Source organism: Homo sapiens, chromosome 10 (genome assembly GCF_000001405.40).
Source record: "Homo sapiens chromosome 10, GRCh38.p14 Primary Assembly".
Lineage (NCBI taxonomy): Eukaryota > Metazoa > Chordata > Mammalia > Primates > Hominidae > Homo > Homo sapiens.
Genome location: NC_000010.11, coordinates 122,418,326 through 122,443,030, shown reverse-complemented (window position 1 = coordinate 122,443,030; position 24,705 = coordinate 122,418,326). Strand labels below are relative to the sequence as shown.

At 37.4% G+C, this 24,705-nt stretch overlaps 1 protein-coding gene across 68 annotated transcripts in view; it reads right to left on the bottom strand.

Annotated features, from left to right (window-relative positions):
- PLEKHA1 (pleckstrin homology domain containing A1) overlaps positions 431 to 24,705 on the bottom strand; it is a 67,893-nt gene continuing 43,618 nt past the window's right edge. For 21 of the 68 annotated variants that reach the window (NR_165162.1, NR_165164.1, NR_165165.1 and 18 more), the window contains 4 exons: positions 18,768 to 18,832; positions 18,072 to 18,135; positions 16,000 to 16,089; positions 431 to 13,407 (listed from right to left, as the gene is read on the bottom strand). Coding sequence is in view for 63 of the 68 variants with exons in the window: in NM_001377235.1 (NP_001364164.1) it covers positions 13,093 to 13,407; positions 16,000 to 16,089; positions 18,072 to 18,135; positions 18,768 to 18,832 (534 nt within the window). In the remaining 5 variants the exon portion in view is untranslated. Of the gene's footprint in view, positions 13,408 to 14,610; positions 14,774 to 14,884; positions 14,950 to 15,999; positions 16,090 to 18,071; positions 18,136 to 18,767; positions 18,833 to 24,705 lie in introns of all 68 variants that reach the window. The other 47 variants (XM_024448108.2, XM_017016478.3, XM_024448109.2 and 44 more) reach the window with 8 other exon arrangements.

Below are 24,705 nucleotides of genomic sequence, written 5' to 3'. Positions count from 1 at the left end.
GGTGGCAGGCACCGTAGTCCCAGGTACTCGGGAGGCTGAAGCAGGAGAATGGCATGAACCCGGGAGGTGGAGCTGGCAGTGAGCCAAGATGGCACCACTGCACTCCAGCCTGGGCGACGGAGCAAGACTCCGTCTCAAAAAAAAAAAAAAAAAAAAAGTGAAGAAGTAGAAACAATCAAAATGTCCAGTAAAGGAATGGTTAAAGTTTTTTTCTGTATAAATACACAAGGGAAGACCAAAGTTTAAGCCTTTATAAATAGTGGTGTCCATATATTTATTGATAAGTGAGGGTGTCTGTAACATACTGCTACATGGAAAACAGGCTACAAAACAACATGTATGGCATGGTCCCAAATATGTCAACTTGCCAATGTCTATGTGTAAATAAGCACAAAGAGCCATCCAGAACAAAGTCGAGTCATGAGAAGTCTGGTGATTTTTGCTTTTATTGTTTTGTGTGGGGTGTATATGACATTTGGCTTGTTTACAGAGGCTACAGATTTTTACACACACAAAAATAAAGCTATTTACGTACACATTTAGTAAAAGACTTGGAAGTATAATCACTGAAATGTCAACACAGGTCATTTCTTGGAGAAATTACAAATCATTTTTATTTTTTTTCTTTTTGCTTACATGGATGTTCTACAATAGGGTGTTCACTTTAAAATCAGAAAAAAAAACATTAAGGCTATTCTTTTTTTAAACAAAACAAAGATTCTTGTCTTGAGGAAGGCTTAGGCTCACAAAAGAAAAAAAAAGTAAAGACTCTAGTACAGTTAACAGCGATGGTGGCTCTGTGTCCACGGCAGCATAGAGAACAAAGAAAGGAATGGTCAGTATCAGCAGTGGAAGCCAGGGAGGCTCCGTGTCACATGGAAAAGTGAGTCATGGAAGGTAATGAGGAGCTCACGAAATGGACAGACAGGGAAGCTATGGGTGTTTGAGTCAGAAGGAAATCATCTCCACGGAATTACACTCGAAGGGTTGTCCTTGCTTCTAAGGGTGAATATGGAAGACCACCTAAAAATTTTTCTACAAAAACTGTGAAGGACATTGGTCCCCACGTTACTCAGTGTCCCCTGTAGCACAATCCACATCATAAAAGATTCCAAACATTTAATACCTGGACGGTTCTCTAGCTCTAAAAGGTGATATGGTTAGTTGCATCAAACAACAAAGGCTATTCTAGAACTCAACGTTTTCCTTTTCAGTTGCCAGAAAGCTCAGAGTTTAGTTGGTGTTTATATGTGGTAACCACCTTTCTTTGATTCCTGATGAAATTCTGTCTATATGGAAGACCATCAAATAAAAAAATATTTTTATTCCAACCTGTGTTTCATGTTCAGTTGGTCAGAGCCGGTTCATGCACGCAGCCTCTTTCAGTGGGTTCTTTATCTGAACCACAGAACACAGGCAGTGATTTAGGTAACTGTTTTCTCAGCTCTAAGGATACTATGTAACAAAGGCCATCCTGGTCGCATAGGAGAGAAGTTAATTCCTTACATGTAATGGATAATGGATATCTTAGGGCAGAGGATCTCAAACTTTTTTTTTTTTTGAGACAGGGTCTCACTCTGTTGCCCAGGCTGGAGTGCAGTGACACTCAGGGCTCACTGCAGCCTTGATCTCCCAGGCTCAAGCGATCCTCTCACCTCAGCACGCAATGCAAGTCGCTGGGACTACAGACACACACCACCATGCCTAATTCTTTTTGAATTTTAGTAGAGACGATGTCTCACTATGTTACCTAGGCTCATCTCGAACTCCTGAACTCAAGCAATCTTCTCGCCTCGGCTTCCCAAAGTGCTGCGATTATAGGTGTGAGCAACCATGCCCAGCCGATCTCAAACTTTAATGGATGTCAGAATCACCTGTAGGCCTTGTTAAAACAGATTGCCTGCCCTAATCCCAGAAAATCTGATTCAGTAGGACTGGGATGGGAGCAATAATTTGCACTTCTAGCAAGTTCTCAGTAATGTTGACATTGTTGGTCTCAGGGACCACACTTTGAGAACCACTGCCTTAGGGGATTAGGATTTCTCTCACAGCAGACTTAAGAGGGGCCCATGAGGTAATTGTTAGCACCTAAAATTAAACGTAAAACCAAACATACATTAAGTATGAAAGGGGCCCAGGACCAGCTGCTGAAACCACTGCACTGGTGCAGTGCTTATACAGTGGCCATTACTACTAGAATTCGTTTGCATTTTGCTTGTCTTATTTATGTCCCCTTTGGGCCAATCTAATCAACAAAGAGCTGGATTTGGACTGTTTTCATTTTCTAATCTCTTCCAAATTTTGAAGTCTTTGGCTTTTAAAAGGGACTACAGTGAAAGGAGAAAAGCTATTTACTAGGCCAAAGTTTAAGAGCAAAGCTTAAAGTGAATTCTGTTCCAATGAACTGTACTGAACGTTGGCATGGGAAGGGAGAAGGGAATCCAGTGTTTTGGGGTCACCAAGGCTTGTGTGATGGGAAAGATGAGAAAGCAATTCCAACACTTCAAGGAGAAAGTGGCATTTTGGTGAGAATTGAAGGTGTGGAATTAACAGGCAACAATTATTAGGAAAGTGGCGTTCCAGGCAGAAGAAACAGCACAAATAATAGCAGGAAGGTGGGAAACAGGGAGATGGAAAGGTTCAGTTGAACTGGAGTGCCAGATATACACAGAAGCACTGTGTGAGAAGGTGGACATGGAAGGGCAATGAACGTAGGATAAGTTCAAATGCTATTCACTAGGACAGTGTTTCTCAAATGGGGAACCTAGACATGTTCTCCAGGAACCACATGTTCTTTACAAGAAATTATACTTTTTACATTGAATTTTGATAATTTTTTAAAGACTCCTAAATTTAATTTGGATGGCCTCCTGTTACCTGAGTACTACCACTTTAATCTGGTGGTATGTTTGTGATCACATTGCTTCCAGGTAAAAATCAGAAGATAGCACAACTTGTCATATAAGCAATCTTCACAGCATTGGATATTTTGAGTTGAAGAACAAAGTGGGATCTGCAGTAATGCATTTCTCCTTAAATAAGTTCTGTATATTGTGCTCAGCTCCATGCAAATACATTTAAAAACTTAGATAAAATGTATAATTTTCTATGGATATAATTGATCAAAACTGACCCCAGAAAAGATAGAAAGCCTAAGCATATCAATTCTCATAGAGGAAATGAGGAGGTTGTCAATGGCACACCCTCAAAAGAGCACCAGGTTGAGAGGATTTCCTAGCGGAAGTCCACTAACTCTTTAAGGAGTATAGAATACCAACTTTTTTTTTTTGAGATGGAGTTTCACTCTTGTCACCCAGGCTGGAGTGTAGTGGCACCATCTCAGCTTACTGCAACCTCTGCCTCCCGGGTTCAAGCAATTCTCCTGCCTCAGCCTCCCACGTAGCTGGGATTACAGGCACCTGCCACCATGCCTGGCTAATTTTTTGTATTTTTAGTAGAGACAGGGTTTCGCCATGTTGAGCAGGCTAGTCTCGAACTCCTGACCTCAGGTGATCCAGCCTGAGAAATGCCTTGGCCTCCCAAAATGCTAGGATTACAGGCGTGAGCCACTGTGCCCAGCCTAGAATACCAATTCTTTTGAAGCTGTTCTGTAACAGCTTAAAATTTAAAAAAAAAAAAAAACCTTTCAAGTATTTTCTATGAAGCTAGTAAAACACCACAAAACCTACAAAGACTAGAGCTACACAAAAGAAAAATGCAGACCAGTATCATTTATATTTATGCAAAAATCCCTAATAGCAAACAAAATCTAGCAGATTTTTAAAATAACATATCTTGACCAAATGGGATTTATTCCAGAAATGTAATGATGGTTAAATATTGAGAACTGGATTAACAGCTTTCACCAAATTAAAGAGGGATAAAAATATTATTTCCAGACATATTGAAGATATTTAACAAAATTCAATCACCATTCTTAAGAAAAAAACTCAACAAAATATGAATAGTTGGATACTTCTTTAACCTGATAAAATATTTCTCAGCCCAAAAGCCAGCAGCATGGGGAACCACTAGAGCAAGCTTGTCCAACCCACAGCCCACGGGCCGCATGTGGCCCAGGACGGCTTTGAATGCGGCCCAACACAGATTTGTAAACTTTCTTAAAAACATTATGAGATTTTTTTGCGATTTTTTTTTTTTTAGCTCATCAGCTATCATTAATGTTAGTGTATTTCATGTATGACCCAAGACAATTCTTCTTCTTCCACTGGGGCCCAGGGAAGCCAAAAGATTGGACATGCCTGCACTAGAGGCTTTTCCACTGAAGTCAGGAGCGTGACAAAAATGACTACAGTTATCAGTTATTGAACACTGTCATTCATGCACACAGAGCTCAGTGGGTTTTCAGTGCTGCTCAGAATATCCTAAATGTCCCTAGTCCATTCCTTCTCCCCAATCCTAGACATCTATTCTCTCATGCCTTTCACACCTTTCCCCACCTTACTTGCAGTTGCGAATTTTGTTTCCTAGTTTACTGAGACTAAGGCAGAGACTTTCAGAGACTTACCCCTCCACGTCTACCCACTTAACCAGTGGCTGCACCACATACTGTGCCTTCCTACCCCAGATAAACACCTGTGCATTTGAAGAAGTCAAGCCAACTTGTGCCCTAGCTTCCATCTCATCTCACCTCCTCAAGGACTTGTTCCAACAATTCTGTACTCTTCTACATCATCAATCTTTCTTTTCCTACTGGGTCATTTCATCAACAAATAAGCCACCATCTTTTGTTATTGTTTTCTGTTTGTTTTTTGAGACAGTGACTCACTCTATCACCCAGGCTAGAGTGCAGTGGCACAATCACAGCTCACTGTGGCCTCAACCTCCCCAGGCTCAGGTGATCCTCCCGCCTCAGCCTCCCAAGTAGCTGGGACTACAGATGCACGCCACCACACCCTGCTAATTTTTGTATTTTTTGTAGAAATGGGATTTTGCCATGTTGCCCAGGATGGTCTTGAACTCCTAGATTCAAGCTATTCTCCCACCTAGACCTCCAAAACTGGGATTACAGGCGTGAACCACCGTGTCTGGCCAAGCCACTGTCTTAAGAAGAAAAGACTACTTTTGCTACTAGCAACCGTCACCTTTCTCCAGTCCTCTTGCAGCAAAATGCCTCAAAAAGAGTTCTATTTGTCCCCACCACTCCATCAGAACAGGCCCTGGCAAGATCACCAATGACATCTGTACTGTCCACGTTGCCAAACACAAAGGGCATTTCTCAGGCTGCCTCTTAACTTGACCTGCGAGCAGAATTTGAAACATCCGATCTCCTCCTCACTTCATTTTCTTCACTTGGCTTCTAAGACACAACGTACTCTTGATATCCTGTTGATGTGGTGGTCACACCTTCTCATTCATCATGGCTACTTCCTCCTCTTCTTCCAAAGCTCTTAATATTGGAGCGCCCCAGGGCTCATTCCATGGTTCTCTTTTCTTCTTTCATCTTCATTCTCTCTAAAGATGATCTCATCCAGTTTCAAAGCCTTCAATAGCACCGAATACTTTGAAGACTCCCACATTTTTATTTCCAATAATGATTTCTCTCAATTCCAAATTTGCATATCCAACTGCCTGCCTGCCATTTCTACTTGGATGTCTGACATGTCAACCCTAACACTCAATACTGCAACCAATACTGCAATCATGATCTTTTCCATCAAACCTGCTCTACCTGCAATCTTTGCTACCTCAGTTCATGGCTTCTAGTTGTTCGGGCTGAAAACCTTGTCATTACCCTTAATTCTTCACTTCCTTTCACTTGCCATATCTGATTCATCGGAAAATCTTCCACCTTCAAACTAGACAGGCAAAAAGCAAATGGGAAGAAAAAATGGCATGAGTGACAATACGAACCAAGACCGTGAGCATGACGTATGTAGAAGTCAAAAAGAAACAGACGCCATTGGGACCAAAGGCCCTATTTGGAAATAATAATAAATGTTTCCACAGGGAATAGGTTACATTCATAACATGAAGATAAGGTACCAAAGACAGGCAAAAAAAAAAAAAAAAAAAAGGCTGATGTAAGTTCCTGACCATGGAAAGTTCTCCACAGCCCCTCCTTTCCTCCCCACTAAAGAAAACGTGCATTAGAGGTATACATACCACAGTTCGGGAGGGAAAGAGGCAATGGAGCCTTAAGAGAACAATGTAAACTTTCTCCATCACTTAGGACCCCTGAATCAACATTTAGAAATTTATAAAGTCACATGGCTTTTACTTAGAAGTACCTTTTTCTCTCATGGGACCCCCCAAAGGCCCTCTCCATCACAACACTTATCTTACCCACACCATCACCCATGGGCCATCTCAGTCTCTGATGCGTAGTTTTCCATGCTAGATTTTATCACATATTACTTTATATTTTCTTTCGGCAGATTCCTCGTGGACATCTTTGTCGTCTTCTTAGGTCTCCTGTGTGCTGCATGTCGTACACTGAAGACACCAATTGACCCAACTCCATCAGGTCAAAGCTTCTCCACATGGAAAAAACCTGTTAGCCTATACCAAGTGATTATCTTTATAACCAGGCCCTATAGCTGTTTCCAAAGCAAGAATCCAGCATCTTAAAGCTATTTCAATCTGTTACTTACTATTTATTCTGGTAACCTTATTTATCAAATGTCAGGGCTTGAAATCTTTCAGGGAAGTTGTAATTTGATACGTACCTATGATTGATTCTCAAATGTTAAATTTAAAGGTATGTATAAATAATATGTCATTTGAAATAGTATGGTTCTAGAAATGTTGAAAACAGACTGAATTCAACTCATTTAGTAATCTGGAAGTACTATTTTAAAAGAGAAGTTTTCAAGACTTCTACTGAGACAGTAGAAGTAGTGTGTTAAGAGCCCAAACTTTGGTATCAGAAAGATACATTTCAAGCCTAATCTGACTCTGGACAAGTGGCTAAGTCTGCTTCCAAACCTGCAGAATAGGAGATGGATGTGACTATAAAAAGAACAACAAAGAGGGGCCTTTGTGATGATGGAACTGTTCTGCATCTTGACTGTATCAGTGTCAGTATCTTGGTTATAATATTGTATTAGTTTTTCAAGATGCTGTTGGGGGGAAACTGAGTAAAGGGTACACAATATCTTTTTCTTTTCTTTTTTTTTTTTTGAGATGGTGTCTCATTATTCTGCCCAGGCTGATCTCAAACCCCTAAGCTCAAGTGTTCCAATTGCCTCAGCTTCCTGAATAGCTGGGACTACAGGCGTGTGGGTCTACATTATTTCTTACAGAAACAGAAATTGACAGGTAGGACATAATTAAAAAACCAAAACTTCATTTTCTAAACCCAGGTAAGTTCTTGGAAATAATTAAAGCTCTTTCCAAATAGGACCAAATACTAAATATTCCCCATTTTGAAAGTTTGGAAAGTTTTATTTCTTACAACTATATGTGAACCTACAATCATCTCTAAATAAAAAATTTATAATTTGTAAATGTTAGTTTGAATTTTATATTAATTTCAAAACTATCCTAGGCAATCACATATCTTATCTAATTTTCTACGATGGAGGCAATAAACAGACTCCAAATTTCCAAATTTTAAATTTAGCAATGATATAACCAGAAGGTGGCGCTATTACCACATGAATATACCACAGTAAGGCACTATTAAATGTATCAAAAAATACAGATTTCATCAATCAAAACTGTAAATGCTAGCCTCAATTCAGCCATATTTTCAACATGTGTCTTACTTGAGGTTTAAAACATACAATTTAATCATTTAAAAAATAGATAACATACACAAATCCTATATGGACTAAACTTCTGAACACTGAGATCTGGTATTAAGCTGTCATATCTTTGCATTTTTGATACAAATATTTCTTGCCTCACCAACTGTTAACAGAACTTTTGATAAAGGTACAAGCACCACTTACAGAAAATTCCTGAACTGCAACTAGAAGTGAAAGAAAAGCTAAGAAAGGGATTTCCTTTTTGTTAAAGCAAAAATGTTTACAGCTTTCCCTTCTTATTTTGGGTTTAGGATAAAAACATTAAAAATACTTTTCCCAAATGTCCAACAATGATCGACTGGATTAAGAAAATGTGGCACATATACACCATGGAATACTATGCAGCCATAAAAAATGATGAGTTCATGTCCTTTGTAGGGACATGGATGAAATTGGAAATCATCATTCTCAGTAAACTATCGCAAGGACAAAAAACCAAACACCGCATGTTCTCACTCATAGATGGGAATTGAACAATGAGAACACATGGACACAGGAAGGGGAACATCACACTCTGGGGACTGTTGGGGGGTGGGGGGAGGGGGGAGGGATAGCATTAGGAGATATACCTAATGCTAAATGACGAGTTAATGGGTGCAGCACACCAGCATGGCACATGTATACATATGTAACTAACCTGCACATTGTGCACATGTACCCTAAAACTTAAATAATAAAAAAAATACTTTTCAAAGGAAAAAAAGTTGCATCAGTTAATAATAATAATTACCAAGACAGATGTAGCTTTTATCCAATTCCATTTTATATAATGTAGAAAATGAAGTTCCGAAACACACACACTTGCCTAAAGTCACATACGGCAGAACTAGAGTTGAAGACAGGCGCCAGGATGCCGGGTCTAAGACAGCCATTATATTCAGACCAATGAGACACTAGGCAAGAAGAAACTTTTATTACAAAAGGCAGTATTTTTCCTTGAACCATGTATTGTTAGCCTAATTCTACTAGTCAAATTAGTTTAGATCTTTTCAAAAATGGACAAAATGTGTCCAGGAATAAGCTTTAAATAAAAATTATGTATCCAGAAAACACAGCTACATATTTGGAGCAGCATCAACAAGACCATAGCAGCAGTGGACAAACACCATGGTAACAATCAGGTGTCCAAGACCCAATGGGAAAGAAAGGAACACCGGAACATCAGTCACTTTCAAGGAAGCAGGCTCCTGGACAAGTATGACTGAAATTGTTACCCAGGCTATTATCACCTCCCATGGCTGGCGTGAACAAGAAAACATGGCTTACACACGCAATGGCACTTTTGGTAAGAAAATAATATTTCAGAAAAATAGGTAGGACATACTAAAAAAATTAAAGCTTCATTTGCTAAACCTAGATAAGTTCTTGGAAATAATTAAAAGCCCTTCCTAAATAGAACCAAATACTAAATGCTCTCCTTTTTGAAAGTGCTGAACATGCTGCAATAAAGGGGTATCAAACATAAACATATCCATCGTCTAACAGAACTACAGAAAACCTAACAGGTGAAACGCAGACACAAACCTCAAGGTCCTTGCATTCTAGGACAATGTATTCCATCCATTTGTAGCAGCAGCATATTAGAACACACACAGGAAGTACGTGAGCTGCTGTTGCATGGCTAGACATTCACAAGTCACTTGATTCAACAGAGATCTGAAGGTCTAAGATGAAGAAAGCCATTTCACACAACAAATGGCCTTCAGAAAAAGACTGAGAAAAAAAAAAAGAACACTAAGCCTATGTGTTTTGGAGAGGAGGTGCGGAATGCCATAGGTTATTAGGAAGCAACCTGGTATATTTGGCTGGATTACTCTAGCTACACCCTGGGCACAGATCCTAATGATGCTCCCAAGTACAGTGAGAAGCCAACAGTTACAGCTTCGTTGCTAACGTGCCCCATGGGCCAGGCAAATCCTCCTCCTTTCTGGGGTCTCAATTTATCTCAGTTAGCATTGATGGTGGGGGCTTGGCCTAGCTGATCTTTAAGTCGTCATTCAGCTTTTCAGGAAAAGGCAACAGATGAAGATGTCTACTTTGATACCTACTCTGCACAATGACAGGAATAGGGTAGTCCAGGAGAGCCCCAACAGGACATGAATAGGTGAGCAGACATACTGGTTCAAAGTCATTCCCGGCTGAATTTCAGAGAACAAGGTATGAACATGCCAGGGAAAAGCAGCAGGATCTGACAATGGATTAGACACAACAAGCAAAAGAAGGTATCTCGAATCATTGAAGGCAAGTTGCTTTAAGGAAAGAATATTCCAGAAATTCAAAAGTACAATTTATCTAACAAATAGGTATACACTTTTCTCTAATGTGGGAAGTTCACACATTCTACAGTAATGCCTTGTCCTCACTGGAGAAGTATTTAAGCTTTACCAAGTGCACCAAGCACTGCACTAGGCCCTGTATATGGTGTTCACCGCAACAGACGTGGAATATTTATCACCAATAGGGAACGTTTGCAAGGAGCAGCCTCTAACACCCGACATAGTTTTTTGAGTGCATCTCAACTGCCCACCCGGAGATTAAGATGCCCTCTGCTTTCCGCCTTACATCATGCCGTCTAAATAATCATGGAGCACTGTGAGCAGCCCAGATGATCCACACGATGCTCTGAGGCTAACATATGATAATTCTGCTTTTGAGAACATGTTTTTTAATTAAGAAAAATAAGCAAGTTCTTTCCCCTATCAAAAAAAAATCATTTTTCCTTCTATAATTTCACATGCAGGGATGCATTAAGAATTCACAGATCTGAAGTTTCTTATTCTTGCAAAGATGACCAAATAATTACTCTGTCCTTAAATATGTAAACTGAAGTCAATTAACCAAACACACCCCTAATCATTGTATTTACTTCATCACACAAGGGCTGAACCAAACAAAATGAGAAATAAGTCAGAATAAACTCTGTGCAGTTTATTCTCATTACAGTGTTCAACCAGTTTGACATATAAAGATAACACACTTTAACAGTAAATGTTGGGAGGCACACATATATTCCCATTCTGAAAGAAGACATGTTATATATACGGAAAAAAATGCAGCAAATATTAAGGTATTCAAAGTAATTTTTTTGAACTCAGATGTGACATATTTACAAGAAAAGTGTGTACGTTTTAAAATAATTAAATAATTTCCATAGACTTATAAAAGAATTGAGATAAATATTAGGAGACCCTGACAATCACCAGAACATTTTCCTATGCTATCGAACAAGGATAGTTCTATTTTAAAATGTCCCAAAACAGAGCTAATATTTTGCCACCATGAAATATATCAAATTGCAAATACTAAAGTGAACATGCAATGTGGAAGCTGTACCAAAATTAAACAGCATTAGGTTCTTAAATATTGCAAAGTGTCTATTTAAGATTTCTCGGGTGTGTTCATGAAAAAGGAACTTTCAAAAAAGCCATTAAAATGAATATATCAGCTGAAAAAGTGATAACTCATTAAAATCTCTTTATTCTATCACTTTCAAATGTAGCTGCAAAAGAGAAAAAATCTTAATGTAACTTTAAAAAAATATTAGCTTATGAATAAAAAAGTTGAGTGGTGCATTCTTTATGCATACAGATTTTTAAACTGATATTGTATAATTCTAATACATCTTAACCTCTGGACTGCACTGCTGTAGTAGGAAATTTTTCTGTCTCAGACAAGAAGTCATCTAAGAAAATGAAAACGAGAAATTTTCAATGATATGCATGAATTCAAAACAAAACAGTACTGTAAAATGGCAAAATATAAAAATAGCAGCATGTGAAATTCAAGACTGTTTTCTTAAAGCAAATGTTTAAGACTGAACCTCAAAAACGGTACTTATGGGCCGGGCATGGTGGCTCACGCCTGTAATCCCAGCACTTTGGGAGGCTGAGATGGGTGGATCACCTGAAGTCAGGAGTTCGAGACGAGCCTGGCCAACATGGTGAAACCCCATCTCTACTAAAATACAAAAATTAGCCAGGTGTGGTGGCATGCACCTGTAATCCTAGCTACTCGGGAAGCTGAGGCAGCACAACTGTTTGAACCCACGAGGTGGAGGCTGTAGTGAGCTGAGATCACGCCACTGCACTCCAGCCTGAGCAACAGAGCGAGAGCCCGTCTCCAAAAAAAAAAAGCAGTACTTACTCAAACTGGTCTATAATTCAACGTCGGAAACTAAAGATTCTTTAGAGAGGTGCTTATATCTATATCCCTATGATTAAATGTATTCTCAAATTTGTTTTTTAAAACATATATATTGCACAAGTAGTAGAATACCAGCATTCTGGTATCTCTAACATAAAATCCTATCTTAACACATTCAACTATTCTACTGAAAATTAATTTTATCACAATGTTTAAAATCAGTCACGTAGGACTTTTAAGCACATTAATCTCAAAACATTCCTAAACAAGATGAAAAAACACAGGCACTTGAATGTAGGCTATTAGTGACAAAAAGTAGAGGTCACAACAATTTCATGACTAAGGGCAGTTATGTCTTTACATATAAACTTGAGGTCTTTCACCAATCCAAATATAGAAATAACAACTATTTACAAAACTTGGATAAGAAAATCAGATCTCCCAAAAATTTCCTACCAAATAATTTTTGCGGAATAAAGCAGTGACTGCTCCAAGGCCTGATGAAGCTTTTTCAAACAAATGTCTAAGACACAGTTGTTTCAATTCTAGTTTTCTTCTTTTCTCTATGCCGGTATAACCCACAACCCTTACTGTTGGTCTATCCATATCCTCTATGCAAAATAAGTCACCTCAAGATTCAGGGCATCAAAAATGGTTATAATTTCAAAATAGTCCACATTTTAGTATAAATTTTACAGCACCACAGACATCATGAGTTTAGGTATCTTGGTCTGGCAATATTTCATGTGGTAATATCAACCAATAAGAATGTGTAAATATTGAACCTTTAATAGGAAGTCATTGTAGCATTTTTTAAATGACCAAAGTTATTAATAAGCATTTTTAATGCTTTAAGTTGTTAAACATTTAAACTGTCAAAATCACTAAGAAAAAAATATTACACATACATTGTTACCACCCGAATGAGAACACACAATGCTTCAGACAGATGATACTGAGATATTTTGGATTTTTCCTTTTTCTTTCTTTTTTAAAGAAATTATATTTAGTTTGGCCACTCCCTAGATTCTTGGTTTACCAGCTTATAAAGAGTACACCTAAGAGGCAGTATAATATACGCACTAAAAACCATTTCCCCCTTTATCATCTTTGGCTAGAAGCCTCATGAAAGGAAACTGAGGACGGCAGAGGCAGGCAGGCTCCGTGCGCTTCTGCCTCACACGTCACTGACCGGAAGGCTCGCATCGTCCAAGTCTACTAGGTCACAATCTTTTTCCTGAGGGCCATTTTTACTTTGAGGTCTTAACAGAGCTTGTTCAGTCACTTTGGAAGCTGGTTCTCTTGGAGAGACAGTCTGGACCTTGAAGTTCCCTGGCTTGACCTTGGCAAGAGACTCGTAAAATCCTCGCTTCTCCATGGTAAAGGTTGAGACCAAAGAGTTGCTGCGAGAGGCTGTGGAATGTGAGGTGGCGGTGGCTGCGTTGGTAGGACGGAAAGCGTGTTTGGATTCTGAAGGACCGGGGGGATGCTCCTGCAAAAAGGAGTGGCAGTCAGACACGGTCAGTCACTCATGACCAGGTTAGTAACTCAGTGTGAGACTTGATTCTCTGAAAAACAAATAAAACACACACACACACACACACACACACACACACACACAAAGGCAGCAGCAGAAGCCATGCAGCATAAATGTGCAAGTTCTTTCCCAAAGCAACGCGTTTTTAGAGGTGAGTTTAAAGCAATGATAGCCAAAAACCATTTCCACTAGGAAACCAGTTCCGTCACCAAAGCTGAATTTGGCAGCCTATGACACTTTGAAGATTCAGCCAACCTAAACTGAAATACAGTGTTCCAGCTGCAACTGAACTGTGTTTAAAAGAGAACCTCCCAGCTGTATCATTTTATTTAAGAGTATATTCTCAGTCAACACTAGGAATTATCCCACATATTTTAGAATGAAAAAAATTAAAATATAGACTATAACAATGAAAGGCCATATTTCTTTAATAAGCACGAATCATCTTTCAAACATTATTCTGCTGATAAGACTTAGTTTTTACTTCCCTGAATTTCACTGCAACCAATAATAGCACAGTCTTTTCATTTTTTACTTAATTTTAGTTCTGAATAGGTCATATATTCATATGGCTTAATATTTTAAAGGTAACAAAGGGTACACATTTATCACATTTTAAACTGTGGTGAAATAATTAGTAGTTGAGAATGTTAATTTCAATATGCTTCTAACTAGATCAAATCTGAAAATATCCTTAAATATGACCATTCTAAATACATTGCTATATACTAGTATATTATATTCATTTATGATACCAGTGGCTTTGAAATCAAAGTGCTACAAATTACCAAAACACTACAGAGTCCTATTAGATGGCTAAATTTCAGAGATTTTTAAATGCCATGCAAACTATAGTAATGTACAGTTTATCCAATGCATATGCATGCATTAGTTTGCATATATTATTAGAACAATGGTGCATTTCGTAAGTATTGTATCTTAAAAATTTTTAAATACATAATATAAAATTGAAACTCTTGCAGCAGTTGAGTATATTAATTTTTATATGTTAATGTCTCTTTCTGTTAGTAAAGTTGTATGTTTTATTTTTTATTTTTAAATACACATATCCAACCTGATGACTACAGTGAAACAGTTTGCGTTAGTATTGACAAAATCAGTTATGATAACTGCAAAAGGCAGTTTGGTTAACTCAACTTTCTATGATCAGTTGTAAGTAGTAAGTCTGGGCCCTCCACTAAGAAGGCACGTTTGCGTGAGAGCCCACATACGTGCTGCATTCACCAGCTCTTGATGTATACCTCTGTATACAAGGGTTCGACAGCCTTCTGGCCTGCCGCATCTGGAACACAGTGCAAAGCTAAGATTAGAGTTAACCTATACTGGGTAGAGGGAGGAAAAGAGAAAGTTGTGCTGACAGTCATAGCTAGATAGTCCAATCTGCCCCCACCACAAAGCACAAAACACAAACATCCTTCTCCAACTTTTCCTCTTCCCAACAGACACTGTTTTTGCAGAGAGTCTCATACTTGACTGCTGAAAAAGTCACATAAAATACAGGCAGTTACAAAATGAACATCTATGAAAGTGACTTCTTAGATATTTCAAAAAGGATATAAAGAGAGAATGACTTAACAACTAAGAAATCAGAAACATTGATTTCTATTTATTTATCTGTAGTTATCACTACCAGAAAACTAATAAAAGGCGGTATTATAATACTATCAGAAAAAAATATTAAAAGTGTAAGTAACTAGCATATATGTCATAGTAAATCTAGATAATAAAGGCTATCATGCTACATATGAGACTACTTTCCGCAGATGGCAGTGTTACATTTTAAGATACTTTAAATTTTCAGACCTGAGATCAGTGGCCAAAGTATTCCAAATGCAAATCTAATTCTTATGTACTTGAACACAAGAAAAATCTTTTAAAAAAATATTTCTGAGCAGAATGTTTAGTTGTATTTCAATTTTATTATCATACTACCACAAAGATAATTATGGTAGTTTTCAGAAGCAGGCTGTTAAAGCAGGTTTTAAAATGAGAATTAAAACATGAAATGGAAACACTGGGAGCACTGAACTGTATTTAAGGCCCCAGCTGCTCAGTGATCTGATGGCATGGTTAAGCCAAAGGTAAAAAACAAAACAAAACCAAAAAACCTGAACTGAAATCAGAGGAAGTAAAGAGGAAATTGAGACGTTCACAAAACTGTGTAACGCTACAACTAAAAGTCTTACATGATCCTGATCACACACCATACTAAGAATCTGTCAGATTATGCCAAATCTAGAGCTACTGACAAGTAAGAACTCCTAAAACAAAGCAAGGAAATGTTTATTCTTTAGTTGCCCTACTTGTGCATTTAACACAATACAATGCACAGAAAGTTATGTATACATAATACTACAAGGAAGCATTAAATTAGAAATGCATTATTTTTTGCAAGTCCAATTGGTATAAAAGTCAACATGCAAATAAATCTCAAGAAAGAAAGAAACCGGATGGATTGGGAGAGAGGAAATTTGATAGGATGGGGGAGACGCAAGGGAGTATCACCCCAGAGAGCAGGAAACCTACAGAAGACGCAGATCTGCCGGGACCCCGCTGTGCTACAATGGCGCCAGAGACTGCTTTAATCCAACTGTGCATCTCTTCAGGGCTATCAGCCTAAAGGAAAAAAGAACTCATTCAAACAATTTTTTCTCAAAATCACCTACTTCTATACAGCCAATGTATTTATTTTGATAACTTAAAATACTGTCATCAACAAAATCACTCTAAGGCAACTGTTTCCAAAAAATTTAGAAATCATTTTTTTAAAGCCAGGTTTTGCTAGGTCTTAACTACACAGAGACATAAATTGAGCACTTCAATGTCAAGATCAGACCCATCAACAGGCGTCAATAATGAATACCTCCAGACAGAAAACAAGGAGAGGAGGAAGTCCAAGAAAAACCCTTCTTATTTCACTCTACCTACTGCTACACTGTCTGAATCTGCTACAAGAATATTTATGTAGTTGTGTAATTTTTAAAAATTCTGACATTCTTTTACATATTTTTCTGGAAATAATTTCTAGTAGTACCCTAAATCCTACAATAAGTATTGACAGATACGTCTGGCTTTCAATGTGAATTTTAAACCTTACTATGAAATTAATCCAATTAAATAAGGCCCCAATCGGGGTGCAGAGATACTGCCTCTTGTTTCTAGATTCTAGAATCCCTTACACTTCTAGAATCTAGAAATATGAAAAAGTTTAAAATGCAGAATATTTTTGAATAAGTAATATTAACAAAGACTAAAAAAAAAAAAAAATACAAGTAGCCAAAGGTAGAGTATACTTCATTCATTACTAATGGAAATACAATTCTAGAAATCAATTTGACAAAATAGAAAGGGTCATGCTCTGATAGTTAATCTCGATCTAGAAACTTACCCTAAAGAAATCAGGCAAAGTAATGCACAAAGATGTTTTTCATCATTTTATTACAGTAAATGTACAAAAACTATGCACATGAACAGAGTAACACAGACACAATACAGCAACAGAGTAATACAGACACAATTTACTGGTGGAACATCAATGGAGTATGGTGCAGTTCTAAAAGGTTTTCAGATAATTTTTAATGACATGGGAAAAAAATAACAATATATGAAACAAATAGGATATAACACTATATTTAGTATGACCCCACCTATTATAAAAATATATACCTTAAGAAAGGGAGCAAAATCATAAGAATGGTTGCCTCAATGTGGGACTGAATGTTTTATAAGCCACATTTTTCTGAAATCTTTCTATATTTTCCAAGTTTTCTGGAATAAGCATATTTAACTTCAATAAAACAAAAACAAATCATCCCTTTTTGATTTTTTTTTTTTTTTTTTTTTTGAGACAGGGTCTCTGTCACCCAGGCTGGAGTGCAGTAACACGATCTCAGCTCACTGTAACCACCTCCTGGGTTCAAGCGATTCTCGTGCCTCAGCCTCCCAAGTTGCTAGGATTACAAGCCTGCACACCACCACGGCTGGCTAATGTTTGTATTTTTAGTAGAGATGGGGTTTTGCCATGTTGCCCAGGCTGGTCTCGAACTCCTGGACTCAAGCGATGTGCCTGCCTTGGCCTCCCAAAGTGCTGGGATTACAGGTGTGAGCCAACACAGCCGGCCCAAATCTTTTTTTAAAATTTTCCATTTAAATAATTCAATGAAGTATGCAAAAAGTACAATTTAAACTTAAATACAGGATGCCTACTATTAGTGAAACTATATAAATCTACTGTCTACTTTTACTATGGGTTTTTTTAATAAGGTTACCAAAAAATGATATAATAGAAAAATCAAAATTCTAAAACATGTGCAAAAATAATCCAACTTGAAAGTACACACTTAACATCTAAATTAAAAGCATTTCCCTTTCTCTAAATACTTAGTTCTAGTTCACTAATTCATAACAAATACTCCCACTTCCTGAACATATAACCCCACCAATAACTCTATATACAGTACCCTTTTATTAAGCTGGTGAATTACAGTTGTCATATTTTTTTAACCTCAAGTGCAACAAGCTTGTTTATGTTTATTTCACCTCTAATATTATTAATTTCTTTTTAGGAGGATCTATTAATTGCCAAATAAGCATCTTACCTGCACATAGAAAGTTCGAGACGTTGTTACAATTTCAAAGAGGTTGTCCCTCATCATTATGTCGCTGTATGAAAAAAAAATCCAATTATACTTAAATAGCAGTTGTTTGAGTTTCTCTTTCATTTGTTTACCCAGTACCCAGTATGCGTCAATAAATAAATGAGGTAAAGCACTGATTTAGCAAACCCAAATTATCTTTTCCCATTTATTTTAATGTAAGATTTTACATATTTCATGTAGTTTCACTTTTAGAAAAAGTTCACAAAGCAACTTTAAAGTTCAGAGTTTTTAGTAATCAGTTTGGTGAAACACTGTCACAGCTAACACATTTTCTTGTGAAGCTCTATTCTACTGCATCTTTTAAACACTTAATACATCAATTTGTCAAATCTGATGGCCTAACCATAAGTTGTTCACATTAAATTTATTCCTTTCCATTAGTAAGCTGTTTCTGTATTTTTAGTTTTCAAAGAAACAAATAAACGATTCTTTCCTAATTTTTAGTTTTCAAATGAACAAAGTAGTTCAATACTTTACTCTGAGGGTTTTGAAAATTCTAGTGTATCTCAACTATAAAGAGTTAAAAATAACTACAATTAATATGGAAAAATGTAATCTGTAAGTACATTACTCAAACTAAGGCACTATTCTGTGTTTATAACTTGTGCCAGGCATCAAGTCAGAGCGGTTCCTTACCTTTGCTTACATTCCTGGACTTTATGAACCTCTTTAAGTGGTATTACACGAAGAGGTTCCTTTTCCTGGCAAAAAAAAAAAAAAAAAAAAAACAGTTACATGATGTTTATTCTTAAAATCCTTTCAAAGGTTAGCTGTCTTATTTGAAGACCCATGTGAAAATCACACTTCTTTTCTGAAGCACATCTCAGAAATAAATCTACCTTCTTAAACCATCCAGCATCTGAATAGCTCAAACACTATAACCTTATATACACTGTTGTTTGAAACAAGAAAAACTGCATACGGCCCTTATTCACATTATTTCTGGCCTTAAGGGCAGTGTAACTAATTAAAAGCTATTAGCCATCAGACTTTCCCCGACGGACCCACGTACCAGTATGCACAGCATCTCCTTTTCTGGAATGTCACTTTGATATACAAGGCAGCAGAGCAAGTGCACATCCTGCTTCTTTGACTTAAATTTGTGATTTTACAAATATCACTTTTATATAAATACAAAATTGAATGTTTACTAAGTGCTGAGACATCTGCTAGCTTTTAAATGTTTTATCTCACACTTTCCCCAACCCTACAACACATGTACTACTATTCATGTGCTGAAACTGCAGATTAGACATGTTAAGTATCTCACCCAAGGTTACAAAGTAGATATAAGATACAAATATAAAACTGGTTCCTAATAGCATATTTCTAGTATACATTCCATAAAATACAATATACATATTTCATTGAATATGACAGCGTGAGATTAAGACATACCATTACTTTATGTAGCACCAAAAATAAAACTAAACCATGACAGAGTGTTGTTGTTTTTTTTGTTTTTTTTTTTTTTGAGATGGAGTTTCGCTCTTGTTGCCCAGGCTAGAGTGCAATGGTACGATCTTGGCTCACTGCAACCTCCGCCTCCTGGGTTCAAGGCAATTCTCCTGCCTCAGCCTCCCAAGTAGCTGAAATTACAGGCGCCTGCCACCACGCCCAGCTAATTTTTGTACTTTTAGTAGAGATGGGGTTTTACCATGTTGGCTAGGCTGGTCTCAAACTCCTGACCTCTGGTGATCTGCCCACCTTGGCCTCCCAAAATGCTAGGATTACAGGCGTGAGCCACCACGCCCAGCTGGGAGTGCTTTTTTAAAAAAAAAAAAAAAAATCATAGATCTTTTTTAAAAAGTTTTACAAAATAGTTTAATTTTGAAATAATTTCACACTTAATAAGAGACTGAGAAAAACAGTACAAAGAATTTCTGCATAACCTACACCTTGTTTTCTAAACTGTTGATATTTTACATTTGCTTTATCATTATCTGTTTATGTTTATATATGTGTGTGACAGAGTATATGTATATATATAGATTCCTGAAATGCTTGAAGGTTAAGTTGTAAATATGATGTACCTTTACTAAACGCTTCAGTGTGTATTTCCTAAAACATGGATGTGCTCTTGCATAACCACAGTGCAATTATGAAAACTGGAAACTCAACACTGATGCAATACTATAATCTACAGACCATCTTCAGATTTCATTAATTGCCCTACCTGTATTCTTTACAGCACAAAAACCATTTTCTGATCCAGAGTTAAATCCAGGATCATACCATGTATGTAGCTGTCATGTCGCCTTTAACTGTGGAATAGTTCTTCATTCGTTTTTCAGAGTTTAAAGAAGTGCAGGCCAGTTATTTTTGTAGAACACCTCCCAGTCTGGGTTTGCCTGTTATTCGTGCTGAGATTCAGTTTATACACTTTTGACAGGAAGCCACAGACATGACACTGTTCTTCTCAGTGGACCACTATTAGGAGGTACACACCCGATGGTGGCTTGTCCTGTCACTGGTGTGTTAACCCTGATCTGTTGCTTAAGGTCATGTTTGCCAGTAGCTGTAAAATTACTTTTTCCCTTTGTCACTGTTAAGTATCTTGTGGGGAGATACCTGGAACCTATAGTAATACCAGGTTTCCCATCATAATTTTGCAACTAGTTTTATCAAACCCTGAAAACTCCTGCCTGAAACCATTACTAGTGGCTGCCAAATGGTGATTTTTCTAACCCCATCAATCCATCTACATATATTAAATAGAATTTTACTCTAAGGAAATATTTTTCCTTCTCCATTTATTTATTTATGACTCATTTTTATTCTATGGGTTATATTCCATTACTATCATTACTTATTTTGTTGTTTAAATTGTCTGCATTTTGGTCAGCTCCTTCAAGGTAATTTCTGTGTCCTTTTGACATGTTCCATTCATTCTCTGAGCCACTTCCTTATCCTCTGGCACAACTTCACTTTCTGAGCTCAGCTTGTACTTTATCTGCCCCAGCTCTGAAATCAGTCACATCACCAAGGGTTCCTGATTCCTTTTGTTTACAGAATGGCATTTACAGTTGCTTTTGGGCAGGGTGGGTGGGGATTTGCCAATCTCTTAACTCAGCCACAACCTTCTCATGACAGATGAGAATATTTCATTGCAGTTTTAATTTGCATTTCTCTAATTATCAGTGATGCTGAATTTTTTTAAATATTTTAAGACCTATTTTAATTTTTAAATGAATTGCCTATTCATGTCTTTTGTTCATTTGCCTACCAGGTATTTTCCCCTCCATTTTCTCTCTTTTTTTAATCTTTGAAACAAACACGAATTTATACAAGGATTGAAAATACAGCATAAAGAACTGATTTTCCTGAACCATTTCAGAGTGAGTTGCTGACCTGTCCCACACTACCCCTGAATACTTTTCCTACATTCTCTTACATAATCACAATACAATCATCAGAATCAGAAAACTGTGCCCAAAATGTCTTTTATTAGAGCAAAAGAATTCAGTTCAGAAGCACGAATACCATCTGCTTGTCAAATATTTTCTTTCCCTCAGTCTGGAACAGTTCCTCATTATTCCTTGACTTTCATAATCTTCACTCTATGAAGATTGCAAGGTAGTTATTTTGTAGAATGTCCCTCATTTGGGTGTGCCTCATGATGGGATTCTGATTACATACCTTGGGCAGGGATTTCACAGAAGTGATGCTGTCTTCGTCTTCCACTATCCTGTCAGGTGATTTCAATTTACCTCATTACCAATGACATTCACTTTAATCATCTGACCACCTGAGTAAAGTGGTATCTGCCAGGTTTCCTCACTGTAATGTTATTCTTTTCCCCCTTGTACAACACTTAATACCTATTTTAGTAGACAGGTACTTTGAAACTATGTAAATATTTCATTCCTCATCATACATACAGATATACATCCATTCACCAAAAAGTATTGTTTCTCTGACAAGATTTGGCTTCTATTATCCTTAATATAGTTCTTGATTTTATCAATCAGTGTGTATGTGACCATTCTCCCATCTCTGCCACCACCCCTCCCCATGTGGATGCCCTTCTCTCCCTACTCCGCGTGGGGCTAACCCCCCAAGAGGACAGCCTCCTTGTCCTGCGTGGGCTCTGACACCCACACAAAGCTACACTGGTTCCTCTTGGATGCCTATGTTGCTTTGCCTCACCTAATAAATTAGAGTCTGAGTCATTTCAGATTGATGGAAGGAAAAGAGAGCAAAGTAGGTGAGGAAAAATCCCCTCAGTTTTTAAGATTCCTTGTAAGTTTTATCTCTAATACATGTTGCAAATATTTTCACCAATTTTTCGGCTGTGCACTTAAGTCTTTTATACTTATTTTTAAAATTTTTAAATGATCTTTTAGAGATACACACTGAGATATTTACAGATGAAATGGGAGACATCTAGGATTTGCCTCAAAATATGAAGCAGGAAGTGGGTGGTGAAACAGAAGAAACAAGACAAGCTGAGCCATGTGTTAACAATTATGACATCTAGGTGATGGGTATATGCAGGTTCCATGTATTATTTCTATCTACTAAAAGGGTATGTTTACACTTTTCCATGATGAAAAGGTTTTATAAAAGAGCCCATTTACACTTTAAACATTTTTATCATATATTATTCTTGAGCATATATAAAAAAGAAAAATATAGACAAGATAAACTGGTTATAGTTTTTAAGATTTCACATTCAGATTCCAGATCTTCTGAATCACTTTTTGACTTGGAGCCACCAATGTCCATATTTTTCACTCCAAGCCATTCTTTGTGCCAAAAAGAGTGTTGGTGATGCAGTATTTAAGAATGTTTCATGGTGTCCCTGAGATTTCCTCCCAAGCTGCCAGCACCCTTTTCTGCACATGCTGATGCCGGTGTCTTCTGGATTTTACCCAAAGGTACTGTGCATATGGCAAGCAGTCAACTACAGCACAGCTGCAGCCTGGCTGCCCCTCGTCCTTAGCAACTCTAAGACATACTGCTAAGATTTCAGAAATGTTAAAACTGGGGGAGGGGGAGCTGAAACAAGAACTATTACAGAAATACTAAGTTTTGAAAACCTGTATGCTGGGCATTATTCTGTGAAATTTGAGAGGAAGAACAAAGAACTACCATAGGAGATAAACTATACTCCGTAAAATTAGGAAAACTTAAGTATAGTTATAATTACTGACCTTTAAAGGTTTTCAGCTTTATCTGCAATTTCTAAATACTAAAAATATTCCTAATTATTAAAACTACTGTTGATGATGGGGGCACACGTCAATTTCCCCACCAAAACTGAACTCCTGAAGGCCAGAGAACTTTGCTAATTATTCTCTTTTATTTTCAGTTCCCAGAACAGTGCACCAGGTTCATGGAGAGCTCAATGAATGTCTGCTGCATGAATGACTCTTCCCGGGAGTATTGGCTTTAAATAAAATCTATGAGACAACCTGCTAACCAAGCACAAGGATAGCCTCCTGAGACAACAAGGCAGGTACTTTCTGAACCAAGTAACTACTACTTCCAGTTGAGGCTCTTAAGCTTTGAGAAAGCCCCATACTAAAATGGCATTTCTTGCTATGCTATGCCATTTTTCATTCATTCAAAGACACTTATTGTCTATCAAGTGCCAGGCCCTGTGATCATAAAAGACTACAAGAGTCTTTACCCTTAAGAAGCTCATTTAATTTAGTTGCAAAGACAAGAATGCACGTGATTGCAAAACTCTGGGAAGAGCATTATGATACAAGTATGCATAGGGTACCACAGGGCATATAAAGAGAAGACACTTAACCCAGAGTCTAAAAGCTTCCCAGAAGAGCTGACTCCTGAGGTGAATCTTAAAATATCCCCTTCCTATACACTAGTGCTCTGCTGGCCAATACAGTGGCCATTGTGTGTAATGATGTAAATATAAATTAATTAAAATGAAATTAAGTCAGTTCCTCAGTCACACTAGCCACATTTCCAGCACTCAACAGCTACATGTAGCTAGTGCCCTTGGACAATACAGATACGGCACATTTCCATTTGTGCAGAAAGTTCTAATGGACAATGCTGTTCTGGTGACTTCATTCAAACAAAGTATAAGTTCCCTTCTCAAAGATCCCATACAAAAAGAAGACGTAGGATAGACATTTATACTACAGAATTGCATTCAATGTCTCCAATAAGCTATTTCAGGACTCAGATCACCCTACAATATTTTAAATAAGGATGCAACTCAAACAAGGCGAAGAGGGAATTTCAATTTCTGATTCTACCTTCAGGGAAGATAAAAACATCTTATGTGAAGTGATTTATGAGTCAATGTGAAATAGGTAAAGAAAATCTCAAGAGAAAGAAATACAGAGGGTTAAATATTGACTTTTACAGACAGAATTCTTTACACCACTTTCCTCACTGTAATGTTACTCTTTTTCCCCTTGTACAATACTTAATACCTATTTTAGTAGATAGGTACTTTGAAACTATGTAAATATCTCATTCCTCATCATATATACAGATATACATTCATTCACCAAAAAGTATTGTTTCTCTGAAAAGACTTGGCTTCTATTATACTTAATATAGTTCCTGATTTTATAAATCACTGTGTATGTGACCA